Source organism: Homo sapiens, chromosome 7 (assembly GCF_000001405.40).
Source record: "Homo sapiens chromosome 7, GRCh38.p14 Primary Assembly".
In the NCBI taxonomy this organism is placed as follows: Eukaryota; Metazoa; Chordata; class Mammalia; order Primates; family Hominidae; genus Homo; species Homo sapiens.
Window position 1 is genome coordinate 76,456,208 of NC_000007.14, and position 13,392 is coordinate 76,469,599.

Consider the following 13,392-nt stretch of genomic DNA (forward strand, 5'->3'; position numbering starts at 1 on the left):
CACCTGAGGTCAGAAGTTCAAGACCAGCCTGGCCAACATGGCGAAACCCATCTCTACTAAAAATACAAAAATTAGCCAGGCATGGTGGGACACGCCTGTAGTCTCAGCTACTTGGGAGGCTGAGGCAGGAGAATCACTTGAATATGGGAGGTGGAAGTTGCAGTGAGCCGGGATCATACCATTGCACTCTAGCTTGGGCAAGAAGAGCGAAACCCCATCTCAAAAACAAAAGAAAAGGCTCACCCTTTTCACTGGTTCCCTTGTGGCAAATCTAAAATAAGGTACGTGTGCTCGCCGTTCATTCATCTGAAAAGTTTGCAAATACCCTCTACCCCATACCCCACCCCCACGTGTTGTCCTTTTTTTTTTTTTTTTTTATTTGAGACAGAGTCTCACCAGGCTGGAGTGCAGTGGTGCAATCTCGGCTCACTACAAGCTCTGCCTCCCGGGTTCGCGCCATTCTCCTGCCTCAGCCTCCCAAGTAGCTGGGACTACAGGCGCCCGCCACCATGCCCGGCTAATTTTATTTTATTTTATTTTTGTATTTTTAGTAGAGACGGGGTTTCTCCATGTTAGCCAGGATGGTCTTGATCTCCTGACCTTGTGATCCGCCCGCCTCGGCCTCCCAAAGTGCTAGGATTACAGGCATGAGACACCGCACCCGGCCCTTTTTTTTTTTAAGAGACAAGATGTCACCCTGTCACCCAGGCTGGAATGCAGTGGTGTCGTCATAGCTCACTGCAGCCTGGACCCCCTGGGCTCAAGTGATCCTCCTGCCTCAGTCTCCCAAGTAGCTGGGACCACAGGGGTGTCCCACCACACCCAGCTAATTTTTTTATTTTTTGTAGAGATGGGGTCTTGTCTTGTCACCCAAGCTGGTCTTAAACTTCTGAGCTCAAGCGATCCTCCCACTTGGACCTAGCCAGGTGCTGGGATTATGGGTATTAGAGTTTAAATTTCTTTGCTCAACACCACTCCCCATTTTGTGGCCAACAGTCACATTCTTTCTTGGGCCACGTCATTCATTTTCAGTTGCTTCAGAGCACTGGTGGCCCCTTGGGTGTGTTGAACAAACCCCAGCCTTTGAGGAGTTCAAAAAAAAAAAAAAAAAAAAAGACACCATCTCTAGGCGGAAAATTTCAGACAAAGAACCCCTGCCAGGAATATTTCCTGCCGCTGCTCCTGCCACTGCCCCTTAGGCTGTGGACCTTTATGCAAGAACGCAAGTGGCAAACTGCCCTACTGTGTATGTTGTGGGGAGTGGGGGTACTGCCAGAGAAGAGAGAGCCCTATTTTATTTTATTTTATTTTATTTTAAAGACAGAGTCTCACTCTGTTGCCCAGGCTGGAGTGCAATGGCACGATCTCGGCTCACTGCAACCTCTGCCCCCTGGGTTCAAGAGATTCTCCTCCCTCAGCCTCCCCAGTAGCTGGGATTACAGGCGCATGCCACCACGCCTGGCTAATTTTTGTATTTTTAGTGGAGACGGGGTTTCCCCATGTTGGCCAAACTCCTGACCTTATGTGATCCTCCCACCTTGGCCTCCCAAAGTGCTGGGATTAGAGGCATGAGCCACTGTGCCCAGCTGACAGCCCTCTCTAAATCTTTAAAAATTCAGTCAGGCGTGGTGGCTCATGGCTGTAATCTCAGCACTTTAGGAGGCTGAGGCAAGAGGAATGTGTGAGCCCAGGAGTTTGAGACCAACTTGGGCAATATGGTGAGACCCTATCTTGACAGAAAATACAAAAATCAGCCTGGCATGGTGGTGCACGCTTGTAGTCCCAGCTACTCAGGAGGCTGAGGCAGGAAGATCACTTGAACCCAGGAGGTCGAGGCTGCAGTGAGCTATGATCACGCCACTGTACTCCAGCCTGGGAGACACTGTCTCAAAAAATAAATAAATAAAATCTTTAACAATTCTTCAGCTTATCCGCCTACCTTCTGGGGCTTCTTGGGTCTCTTCCCAGAAACTTTCTTCGTCTGTAAGCCCGTTTATTGTATGCAATTGTTTAAAAAACACAAATGGGTGCATATTCTCATATTCTCTACCCTCTATTTTGAACGTTCCTTTTTTTTCTTTTTTTCAGACCGAGTCTCAGTCTGTCACCCAGGCTAGTGCAATGGTGCAATTTTGGCTCACTACACCCTCTGCCTCCCAGATTCAAGCGATTCTCCTGCCTCAGCCTCCCGAGTAGGTGGATTACAGGTGTGCACCGCTGCACCCAGCTAATTTTTGTATTTTTAGTAGAGACGAGGTTTCACCATGTTGGCCAGACTGGTCTTGAACTCCTGATCTCAGGTGATCCACCTGCCTCCGCCTCCCAAAGTGCTGGGATTATAGGCATGAGCCGCCTTGCCTGGCTCAAAGTTCCTTTTTGGTTTAACAATAGATCTAGGCCACTGTGAGTCTTCCTCATTCCTTCTAGGGCTACCTAGTGTTCCGGGGTTATTTAACCAGCCCCCTCCTACCAGGCAGTTCTTTTGTCTCTGGCCCTTTGCTACGTATATTAGTTTAAAGTTCACTTTGCAAGTGGCCAAGCCTGTTTCCCTCATTTCCAGGTTCCCAGGGGGCAGACATCCTGCTGCAATTTCAGAAGTCAGCACACTCTTCTCTCTCCTGTCTAAAATACAAAAGTCCATGCCCCCCACTCTCCCTCTTGATACTGTCCTATTTTACTTCTTTTCACAACCAGAACTCTTTATTTTTCCCAAATAAAAATAGTCCGTCTTTTCAGATTTTAAAAATGGAACTCTGGCCGGATGCGGTGGCCCTCACCTGTAATCCCAGCACTTTGGAAGGCTGCAGTGGGCAGATTACCTGAGGTCAGGAGTTTGAGATCAGCCTGGCTGACATGGTGAAACTCTGTCTCTACTAAAAATACAAAAATTAGCCCGGATGCGGTGGCTCACATCTGTAATCCCAGTACTTTGGGAGACCGAGGTGGGCAGATCACGAGGTCAGGAGTTCAAGACCAGCCTGGCCAACATGGTGAAACCCTGTCTCTACTAAAATACAAAAATTAGCTGGGCATGGTGGCATCCGCCTGTAATCACAGTTACTCGGCAGGCTGAGGAAGAATTGCTTGAACCTGGGAGGCGGAGTTTGCAGTGAGCTGAGATTGTGCCATTGCACTCCAGCCTGGGCGACAGAGCAAGACTCCGTCTCAAAAATATATATATATACAAAAATTAGCTGAGTGTGGTGGTGCATGCCTGTAATCCCAGCTACTCGGGAGGTGAGGCAGGAGAATCACTTGAACCTGGGAGGCGGAGGTTGCAGTGAGCCGAGATTGTGCCATTTCACTCCAGCCTGGACAACAAGAGCAAAACTCGTCTCAAAAAAAAAAAAAAGGAAAATAAAAATCCCTGATAAAGGATCAATGACCTTAGGATAATGTCATTCCAGGTAAGTATCTTTAACTGGGTACTTGGTCCTCCAAGATTCAGAGGACCTTGATCCCCCTGAAACTGTATACATAATATTCAACATACATAGTATGTGCACACATGTGCAAACACTCACATTATCTAAAATTCATCATAATCTTACCCCGGCTTCTCCCCACACTCCTCAGATCCTGCTATAGCCTAGTGCATTTTCTCCTTCCTCACTCCCTTCCCTCCATGTGTCCTCTGCCCTGGCCACCAGGAACTTTGTGCTGCCTCCGGAGTGCATGAGGCACTTTCACATCTCTCTTGCTTTACAAGAGCTTCCCTATGCTCCAACTGGCAAATTTCTCTATGGACTGAAAAACCCACATAGCCTTTATCTGTCTTGTGATGTCTTCTCCCCACCCTCAAGTTAGGCATACCCTTCTATGCCCTCCTTTATCCAAACATTTTCCCCACTATATCGTAATTGTGTGTTTAAGTGCCGGACTTTCCAACTAGATACAAAGCTTTCCCAGGAAAGAAATCCTTTTCTTTTCTTCTTTCTTTCTTTTCTTTTCTTTTCTTTCTTTTTTTTTTTTTTTTTTTTGAGACAGATTCCCACTGTGTCGTCCAGGCTGGAGTGCAGTGGCACAATCTTGGCTCAGTGCAACCTCCACCTCCAGGGTTCAAGTGATTCTCTTGCCTCAGTCTTCCAAGTAGCTGGGATTACAGGCACGCGCCACCACACCCAGTTAATTATTATTATTATTATTATTTTTTTTTTTTTTTGAGACGGAGTCTCGCTCTGTCACCCAGGCTGGAGTGCAGTGGCACAATCTCGGCTCACTGCAAGCTCCGCCTCCCGGGTTCACGCCATTCTCCTGCCTCAGCCTCCCGAGTAGCTGGGACTACAGGAGCCCACCACTACGCCCGCTTAATTTTTTTTTTTTTTTGTATTTTTAGTAGAGACGGGGTTTCACCGTGGTCTCGATCTCCTGCCCTCGTGATCCGCCCGCCTCGGCCTCCCAGAGTGCTGGGATTACAGGCGTGAGCCACTGCGCCCGGCCTCCACACCCAGTTAATTTTTGTATTTTTAGTAGAGACGGGGTTTCACCATGTTGGCCAGGATGGTCTCAATCTCTTGACCTTGTGATCTGGCTGCCTCGGCCTCCCAAAGTGCTGGGATTACAGGCGTGAGCCACCGCTCCCGGCGAGAAACCTTTTCTTTTTCTTTTTTCTTCTTCTTCGTCTTTTTTTTTTTTTCTTTTGAGAGGGATTCCTGTTCCGTCGCCCAGGCTGGAGTGCAATGGCGCGATCTTGGCTCACTACAGCCTCTGCCTCCCGGGTTCAAGCGATTCTCTTGCCTCAGCCTCCCGAGTAGCTGGGATTACAGGCACGAGCCACCACGCCCGGCTAGTTTTTTTTGGTATTTTTAGTAGAGACGGGGTTTCGCCATGATGGCCAGGCTGGTCTGGAACTCCCGACCTCAGGTGATCCGCCCACCTCTGCCTCTCAAAGTGCAGGGATTACAGGCATGAGCCACTGCGCCCAGCCAAGAAACCATTTCTGATTCACCTATTCACTCCCGCACTCCCACTACACAGTAGCTAAATAAATAAATAAATATTAAAAATAAATAGGAAAGAAAGAGAGAAAAAAAGAAAAGAAAAAGACAAAAATTTAAATTTAAAAAGGTTGTGCTCGATGGCTCACACTTGCAACCCCAGTGCTTTGGGAGGCTGAATGAAGCAAGAGGATCGCTTGAGGCCAGGAGTTTGAGATCGGCCTGAGCAACGTTGCAGCATTGCAAAACCCCCATCTGTACAAAAAAGAAAAATAAAATTAATTTTAAAAACAAAAAAAGAGAAACAGTAGCACATGTATGTACTGGCACCATGTATGTACTAGTAAAAACTAGTTAAAATTAAGTCAGTAATTAATGAAGGAATAAGTCAATGAGTGAGCAGGCGAAGGAAGAAAACATAGACCGGAGCAGGTGCGCCTTGGGTTGAGCCCTTCCCCGCTGAGCCCCGCCTTCTGCCCGCCCCTGGGCCCTACCGGGACTACATTTCCCAGAAGGCCGCACGCCCCGGGCATGCGCAGCGGCTCGCTCGGAAGCTGCGACGCCGAGTTTCACTCTGGCTGCCTTCTCCTGAGAGTCGGAGCCACAGCCAGAGCCCTGCCCAGGCCGAGCCGGAGCTGCAGCCCGAGCGCGGTGGTGCCCTCAGCCCCGTCCTCTTGTCCTCCTCAGCCTCGGTGAGAGGGCGGGAAGGCCACCTGCGCGTCGCTAGGGCTGCGGTCCCAGGGGCGCGGGGTGGCGCGGGGAGCCGGAGCCTAGCTGGGACCGGAAGGGGGCGGGCGTGGGTGTGAGGGGGACCGACGGCCGGGGCGGCGGGGACACCCGGGGGTCCCGGGAGATCGGGGGTGTCGGGGGGATCGGTCTCCGGGATCAAGGTCCTGAGGGCGAGAGTTGGGGGACTTGGGAGGCGCCGGCAGCTTTGGACGGGACAGGGTGCCGGGTGCGAAAGGGGACGTTCGGATGAAGGCTGAGGGGCTCGCAGGCGGAGGGGCGCGGTTCCGGGTCGCTCGGAAGGCGCGCACCCCTTCCCAAAGTACCCAGAGGAGGGGGTGACGAGATTGCCACCGGCTCCCTGACGAGGGGTTGGTCCTGCTGGGGTCTACCCCCAGGTGAAGGGACTCACTGGGCCGGGGGTTGTACTTTGGAGGAGTTTGCTTCCTAACTCTGCTTCCCTGCTTTCCTGTGGGGGGTCTTCCCAGGAGTTCCTGGGGCCCTGGGTCACTTTTTGGGGTGCGTAAGGGGTGCCGAAAAAGATTTAGAACTCGGTTCCCTTTTCTGGAGCTGCGCTTTCATCGCGACTGTCTCAGCCAGCTGCCCTCCTCCTCCAAGCTGGCTCCACTTCTCTAAGCGCCAACAGCGATGGAAATAAATAGCATGTGTACAGACGCCTGGACCCTTGAGAAACTCAGAATATTTCTGCATGCCTTCCTAGCTCCTCTAGCGCTCTAGAAGGTAGACTTTCTGGTAGCCACCATCCGGGCTTAAGCCATCCGGATAGCAAGCCCTCTGATTCGGTTGCTCTGTGACCTTAAATATTTACCCTCTCTGGTGTGTTGATTTCCTGGATGCTTAGCTGCCAGACTGGCTTATGAAGTCCTTTTAGAGTTTTCTGTAAAAGGGCTCAGGCCAGGCACGGTGGCTCATGCCTGTAATCCCAGCCCTTTGGGAGGCCGAGGTGGAAGGATCATTTGAGTCCAGGAATTTGAGACAAGCCTGGGAAACGAAGAGGATTCCTGAGATCACTGTCTCTATAAAAAATCAGATGGGCGTGTTGGTGGGTGCCTGTAGTCCCAGCTACTTGGGAGGCTGAGGCAGGAGGATCGCTTGAGCCCAGGAGTTGGAGGCTGCAGTGAGCTGTGATCACACCACTGCACTGCAGCATGGGCGACAGAGGGAGACCCCGTCTCAAAAAACAAAAAACAAACAAACTAAAAAAACGAACTTTTTTTTTTTTTTAAGAAAAGGGCTCAGAGCCAGGCGTGGTGACTCGAGCCTATAATCCCAGCTACTCGGGAAGCTGAGGCAGGAGAGTAGCTTGAACCTGGGAGGCGGAGGCTGCAGTGAGCCGAGATCACGCCACTGCACTCCAGCTTGGGTGACAGAGCAAGACTCCGTCTCCAAAAACTAATAATAATAAAAAATTTTAAAAAGAGCTCAGGGTTTTTTTGTTTGTTTGCTTTTTGTTGTTTCTTCAACCATCTCCTTGATTGTTAAGTGGGTGGAGGAAGACTGTTGTACCTCCTGCTCCACCCAGGCTATTGGAAAATAAATCTGGTGATTTTCAGTCCCCAGGCACAGCACACGGATCCAACATCTGTACCTTTGTTTTTACTAACTGCTGTTTCTTAATTTAAAACCTGATCATCTTCTTCCTCGTTGGCAAAGGTGCCTTGGAATTTGTGTCGCTGAGTCAGCAAGCCTTTCAGATTTGCCCGGTTTTTGTTGTTTGTGGTTTGTATCAAGATGGGAACTCAAACAAGTCATTCCTCCTAAGGAGCTGGTGTCTTCATCCAGAAGGGACAGTTTGTGCCAGCTCTCCAGAGAGAAAAGGTGAGAGCCATGGGGACTTGACCTTGCTGCCTTCTCTATCTGGTGCAGAGAAGGTGGGGATTGGGGAGGGTGGAATTTGAGGTCTGCAGGATAAACGTGTGCCCTGGGAGTTGACTGTTGATTGCCACCTGTCTCAAATAAATTGCAGTGGCGTCTTGCCACTGCTTCTCCTGTTTAACTAACTAGTCTTAGAAGATGCTTTCCACTTTAAGACATGCTTTATGGGATAGAAGACACAAGTCACGATTTCTGCATTTGAAGTGGCAGTTTTCATTTCTTTTGTTGCATAAACCCTTACTGGGTGCCAGATAAGATCTCTGTCTTTTGGGAGTGCATTGTTTGGTGGAAAAGACAAAGCAGAGTCAGTGACAAGGTGTTGTCAGTGTGATATATACTGAGCTGGGAGAAATCACAAGGCTCTCCTACCCACATCCAGAAAGGGGACGGTTAGAGGGAAGGTCAGGAAGGCTCCTGGAAGGTGGTAGTTGAGGGGGGTTGTGAAGGAGGAGTAGGACTTAGAAAGTGGGGCACAGTCACCTGGGAGAGGAGTCAGCGTTTGCAAAGTCATGAAGCTACCGGGACACAGCTGGGCTACTGTAAGTAGCTTAGTATGTAATAGAGGAGGCTGGAAAAGCAGGCAGAGGGCTCTGAGCGAGGAGGGTTATGTGGGCCATGCCAAGACTCGGGAGTGGAAGGATTTTAGGAGATTTCTATGAGGGTCATTTTATTAATTATTTTTTTGAGTTGGGGTCTGCTTCTGCTGCCCAGGCTGGAGTGCAGTGGAGTGATCATAGTTCACCACAGCCTCAAATTCCTGGGCTCTGGGGTAGCTGAGGTGCCTACCACCATACCCGACTAATAATTTTATCTAGAGACAGTGCCGCTCTACGTTGTCCAGGCTGGTCTCTAACTCCTGGCCTCAAGGGATCCTCCCATCTCAGCCTCCCAAAGTGCTAGGATTACAGGCCTGAGCCACCGTGCCTGGCCTCGTGAGGGACATTTTAATGGAGCACACTGGAACATGTGGAATGGGTTTAGACTGGATTATTCGCTTTGTGGCGGTCTTCTTACATACATCATGCCAGCTTCTTCGTGGGGAGAGGCAGGTGAGTGGTTTTGCCCTCAGTTGCTTATAGTCTAGTTGAAGAGATAAAGTGAACATAGAGAACTGAAAAGGAACTTGCTAAGAGGGTGTTTTCTTTCATTCTTTTTGTTGTTGTTGTTTTGTTTTGTTTGTTTACTTTTTGAGACAGGGTCTTACTCTGTCACCCAGGCTGGAGAGCGGTGGTGCAATCTCAGCTCACTGCTCAACTTCACCTCCCAGGCTCAAGAGGTTCTTGTGCCTCAGCTTCCCGAGTAGCTGGACTTACAGGTGCACACCATCATGCCTGGCTGATTTAGAGGGTGTTTGCTTTCTGCTGGGCACATCCAGGCATCGTGGGAAGTGCTGTTTAAATTGGGCCATAAAAGGGTGGGTAAGGTGAGGACAGGGGACCAAGTGGGTGGGATTCAGGGTGAAGCAGAGTCATGGGGGTGGGGACAGACACGCTGATGCACATGGGAGTAGTGGATCCTCATTTACACTCTGGAAGGGAATTGTGGAGAGGGAGGTATAGATGAGGGGATGGAAGGGAAGGGCACCGGCAAATATTGTTGATAGCGAGGGAAGGGCGGTATTGTGATCGGCTTTGACTGTCAGCCTAAGGAATTTGAATTTCATTCTAGAGATCCAGGGGAGGTGTGTAAAAGACAAGATCAGAACGTTAGTTCAGGAAGCTTAATCTTTTCTGCCCCCCCATCTGAGATGTACAAGAGGGTTAGAAAGCAGAGTTGGAGAAGCTGTTTGGGAGGGAGCACTTATTTGTTTTTTTGTTTTGTTTTGTTTTTTTGAGATGGAGTCTCGCTCTGTTACCCAGGCTGGAGTGCAGTGGCGCCATCCTGGCTCACTGCAACCTCCACCTCCCGGGTTCAAGTGATTCTCCTGCCTCAGCTTCCCAAGTAGCTAGGACTACAAGCACCTGCCACCATGCCTGGCTAATTTTTGTATTTTTAGTAGAGACGGGGTTTCCCTCTGTTGGCCAGGCTGGTGTCGAACTCCTGACCTCAGGTGATGCACCCACCGAGGCCTCCCAAAGTGCTGGGATTACAGGCGTGAGCCACTGCGCCCGGCAGGGAGGGGGTAAAGTGAGAGGCATAAGGGTCCCGGCCAGGTGTTAGCAGGGGGCTTCAGAGGTGAGGAGAGAGCAGGGCAGGCAGCTGCTAGGCCTGGGGGAGCGGGCTGCGGAGGACTGAGAATCTGAGGTTTTTCTCTTGGCCGCCTGGGGGAAATCCAGGGGGAAAAGGAGAATGAGGAAGGAAGATGCGTTTGGCCTCAGACGTGTTGAAGGTATTAAGAGGCCAACAGGAAATGAGGCCATGGGCTAGAGAGAAGAGCCCTGATTCATTCCCCAAATGCCTCCCGAAATTCTGTGCGCCGAGGCTTGTGTTTGGCACTTGGAGTACAAAGATGAATTCAGCAGTCTCTTTGGTGTTTGCCTTATCAGCTAAGCTGAGAACAAGATTGATTAGTACACACTCCTCAGTGTTCATGCCTGACCTACTTTTCCTTATTTAGTAAGTTATTTTTAATAAATGTAGTAAGCTCTGGCAATCTAGGCACCCAAAACAAAAGCTGGGATCATGAAACAAAAGTATATATCTAATCTTTTTTTTTTAATTTTAAAAAACTTTAAAAAGTTTTCTACTTTATCAGGTCCCCTTAGAACATCTAATCATTTCATTTGAACTTGTTTTCTGTTCTTACCCTGAGGTAATCATTATCTCCTTTCTTTCATTTTTTTCTTAGTTTTATCTTACATGTGTATTTCTTTGTTTCTCTGTCTCTTTTTTTTTTTTCTTTGAGGCAGAGTTTCACTCTTATTGCCTAGGCTGGAGTGCAATGGCACGATCTCGGCTCACTGCAACCTCCACCTCCCGGGTTCAAGCTACTCCCGATTCTCCTGCCTCAGACTCCGGAGTAGCTAGGATTACAGGCATGCGCCACCATGCCCGGCTAATTTTGTATTTTTAGTAGAGACGGAGTTTCTCCATGTTAGTCAGACTGGTCTCAAACTCCTGACCTCAGGTGATCCACCTGCCTCGGCCTCCCAAAGTGCTGGGATTACAGGTGTGAGGCACCGCGCCTGGCCTATTTCTTTCTTTTTTTAGAGACAGTGTCTCACCTTGTAACCCAGGCAGCTGGAGTGCAGTGGCATAATCACGGATCACTGCCGCCCCAAATTCCTGGGTTCAATGGATCCATCCCCTTCAGCCTCCTGAATAGCTGGGACTACAGGCACAGGCTACCATGCTTAGCTAATTTTTAAAGTTTGTGCAGAGGCAGCTTCACTGTGTTGCCCAGGCTGGTCTTGAACTCCTGGGCTCAAGCAATTCACCCGCCTTGGCCTCCCAAAGTGCTGGGATGATAGACATGAGCCACCATGCTCGGCAGTGTTCATCTTTCGTAGCTATTGCTAGACCATTTCCTGAATGTAGTGCTTATACCAGTATCCACTTTACCAGCAGTGTCCTGTGTCTTGCAGCTCCACAGTCTTACCAACATTTGCTGTTGGCCAAGTGAATGGGTAGAAAATGGAATCTTTGGGAACTTGGTTTCTAGGTCCCTGAGCCCTGCTGCTGAATATCTCCTCTTATGTTTATTGGCATATGTGTTTCCTGTGAAATATTCATGTCTTTTGCCAGTTTTTCATTAGGGTTCTTGGTGCTTTATTTTTTGTTGATCTATAGGGCTCTTTATATATTGCTGATTTTAATCCTTCGTGTCTATTGCAAATATCTTCTCCCAGCTTTTAACCTATTATTCCTCTTTCTTTAAGGTGTCTTCTGTTGATCAGCCATTCTTCATTTTAACATAGCGAAATGTATTTTTTCCCTAGTACTCAGTTTTCTGGGTCTGGTTTGAAGTCTTTTCCTGAACATAACCCTTGCCTTTAAGGAGCGTATGCATTCTCCAGTGGAGGAGACAGATAATGGCACTGAGACGTCATGTGGGCATTGATTGTTAGAAGTGGCCACTTCTGCCTGTGGAGCGGGAGCGAACTTAGGAAAGATCTCACAGGGCAGAGTCTTGAGCTAGGAATTAAGAGATGAGTAAGTGGACAAGTGCGATGGGCATTCTCAGTGGGGGACGAAGGGCATGAAACATCCTGACCTGCCCTGGGCACTGCCAGGAGGTCCAGATGGCAGGAGCTGACGGTTTGAGGGGCTCGGGCAGGGCATCCCGAGGACAGCTTTGGGTGATCTGTATGCAAGGGAATATTGAAGCCATGGGAACAGATCCTGAGGATCCGGGGGGAATGGAGAGAGGAGGGGAGGAGGGGAGAGGGAGGCCAGGGCCTGATTCCCGGATGCAGAGAATGTTATCAACGCCCGGTGTGGCTCTGGGGAGCACCTGGGGCTTCCCAGGGGCGGGTGCTGTTGGCATGCTGCCTGCTGTGCTGTTGGATGCTGTATTTCACCCTTAGGTGTTGGGCAAAGGCTGACATGTCTGCAGAGGGCAGGGCGTGTTGTTGGCAAAGCTAGCCAGAGGCAGAGCACTCTCTCACTTTTTGATAGAGACATGAGTTCAGAGAAGTATTGCTCAACTGTAGGAGTGTGAAAGTACAGTAATAGATGTGAGGGAGGCCACAGGGCAGAGGTCTGCAAACGATGGACCCTCAGCCAAATCTGGCCCACTGCCATTTTTTTTTTTTTTTTTTTTTTTTTTTTGAGATGGAGTCTCACTCTGTTGCCAGGCTGGAGTGCAATGGCACGATCTCAGCTCACTGCAGCCTCCGCCTCCCAGGTTCAAGAAATTCTCCTGCCTCAGCCTCCTGAGTAGCTGGGATTACAGGCACCAGCCACCATGCCTGGCTAATTTTTGTATTTTTAGTAGAGACAAGGTTTCACCATGTTGGCCAGGCTGGTCTCGAACTCCTGACCTCAGGTGATCCACCCCCGCTTGGCCTCCCAAAGTGCTGGGATTATAGGCGTGAGCCACCACGCCCAGCATTTTTTTTTTTTTTTTTTTTTTGAGGCAGGGTCTAACTCTGTTGCCCAGGCTGGAGTACAGTGGCACAGTCTCGGCTCACTGCAGCCTCCGCCTCCTGGGTTCAAGTGATTCTCCTGCCCCAGCCTCCCAAGTAGCTGGGACTACAGGTGCACGCCACTACGCCTGGCTCATCTTTGTATTTTTTTGGTAGATACGGGGTTTCACTGTATTGGCCAGGCTGGTCTCAAACTCCTGGCCTCAAATGATCCACCCACCTCAGCCTCCCGAAGTGCTGGGATTACAGGCGTGAGCTACCGCATTCAGCCCCACTGCCTGATTTTGTTCATAAAGTTATATTGGTATGCAACCCCTCCTGTTTACACATTGTTTATGGTTGTTCTTGTGGTCTAGTGGCAGAGTCACTGCAAAGACTTTTTCTGTCCTTTACAGGAAAAGCATGCTGGCCCTAGCCATAGGGAGTCATGGTAGCTGTGGCCACCCAGAGAGGACGTTCCAGCCACCATTGCAGTTTAGCTGGTGTTGCTAGGTAGATCATGGATCTAGGTCCAGCCTGCAAATATTGCCATCTTTCCTGATTTTCAAGGGAAGCTTGAAATCTAGATTTTTTTTTTTTTTTTTTTTACTGTGAATATTCCTTTTTTTTTTTTTTTTGAGACGGATTCTCATTCTGTCGCCCAAGCTGGAGTGCAGTGGCATAATCTTGGCTCACTGCAACCTCCACTTCTTAGGTTCAAGCAATTCTCCTGCCTCAGCCTCCCGAGTAACTGGGACTACAGGCGCTCGCCACCACACTTGGCTAATTTTTTGTATTTTTTAGTAGAGACAGGGTTTCACTGCATT

General features: G+C 49.5%; 1 protein-coding gene across 19 annotated transcripts in view, besides 1 other annotated feature; it reads left to right on the plus strand.

The window, feature by feature from the left end:
- Window positions 1-874: an enhancer, noted in NCBI's record as "H3K27ac-H3K4me1 hESC enhancer chr7:76085525-76086398 (GRCh37/hg19 assembly coordinates)". NCBI's record gives its function as "activates a minimal SCP1, AML or CMV promoter by ChIP-STARR-seq in naive H9 embryonic stem cells {active_cell/tissue: H9 hESC(naive)}" and the evidence as "EXISTENCE:reporter gene assay evidence [ECO:0000049][PMID:30033119]".
- The window catches only part of DTX2 (deltex E3 ubiquitin ligase 2), a 44,283-nt gene continuing 36,392 nt past the window's right edge, over window positions 5,502-13,392 (plus strand). For 8 of the 19 annotated variants that reach the window (XM_047419853.1, XM_047419860.1, XM_047419858.1 and 5 more), the window contains exons 1-2: window positions 5,502-5,629; window positions 7,338-7,502. The gene's annotated coding sequence lies outside the window, so the exon portion shown is untranslated. Of the gene's footprint in view, window positions 5,630-5,732; window positions 6,405-7,237; window positions 7,503-13,392 lie in introns of those variants that run through there. The other 11 variants (XM_047419857.1, XM_047419861.1, XM_011515774.2 and 8 more) reach the window with 4 other exon arrangements.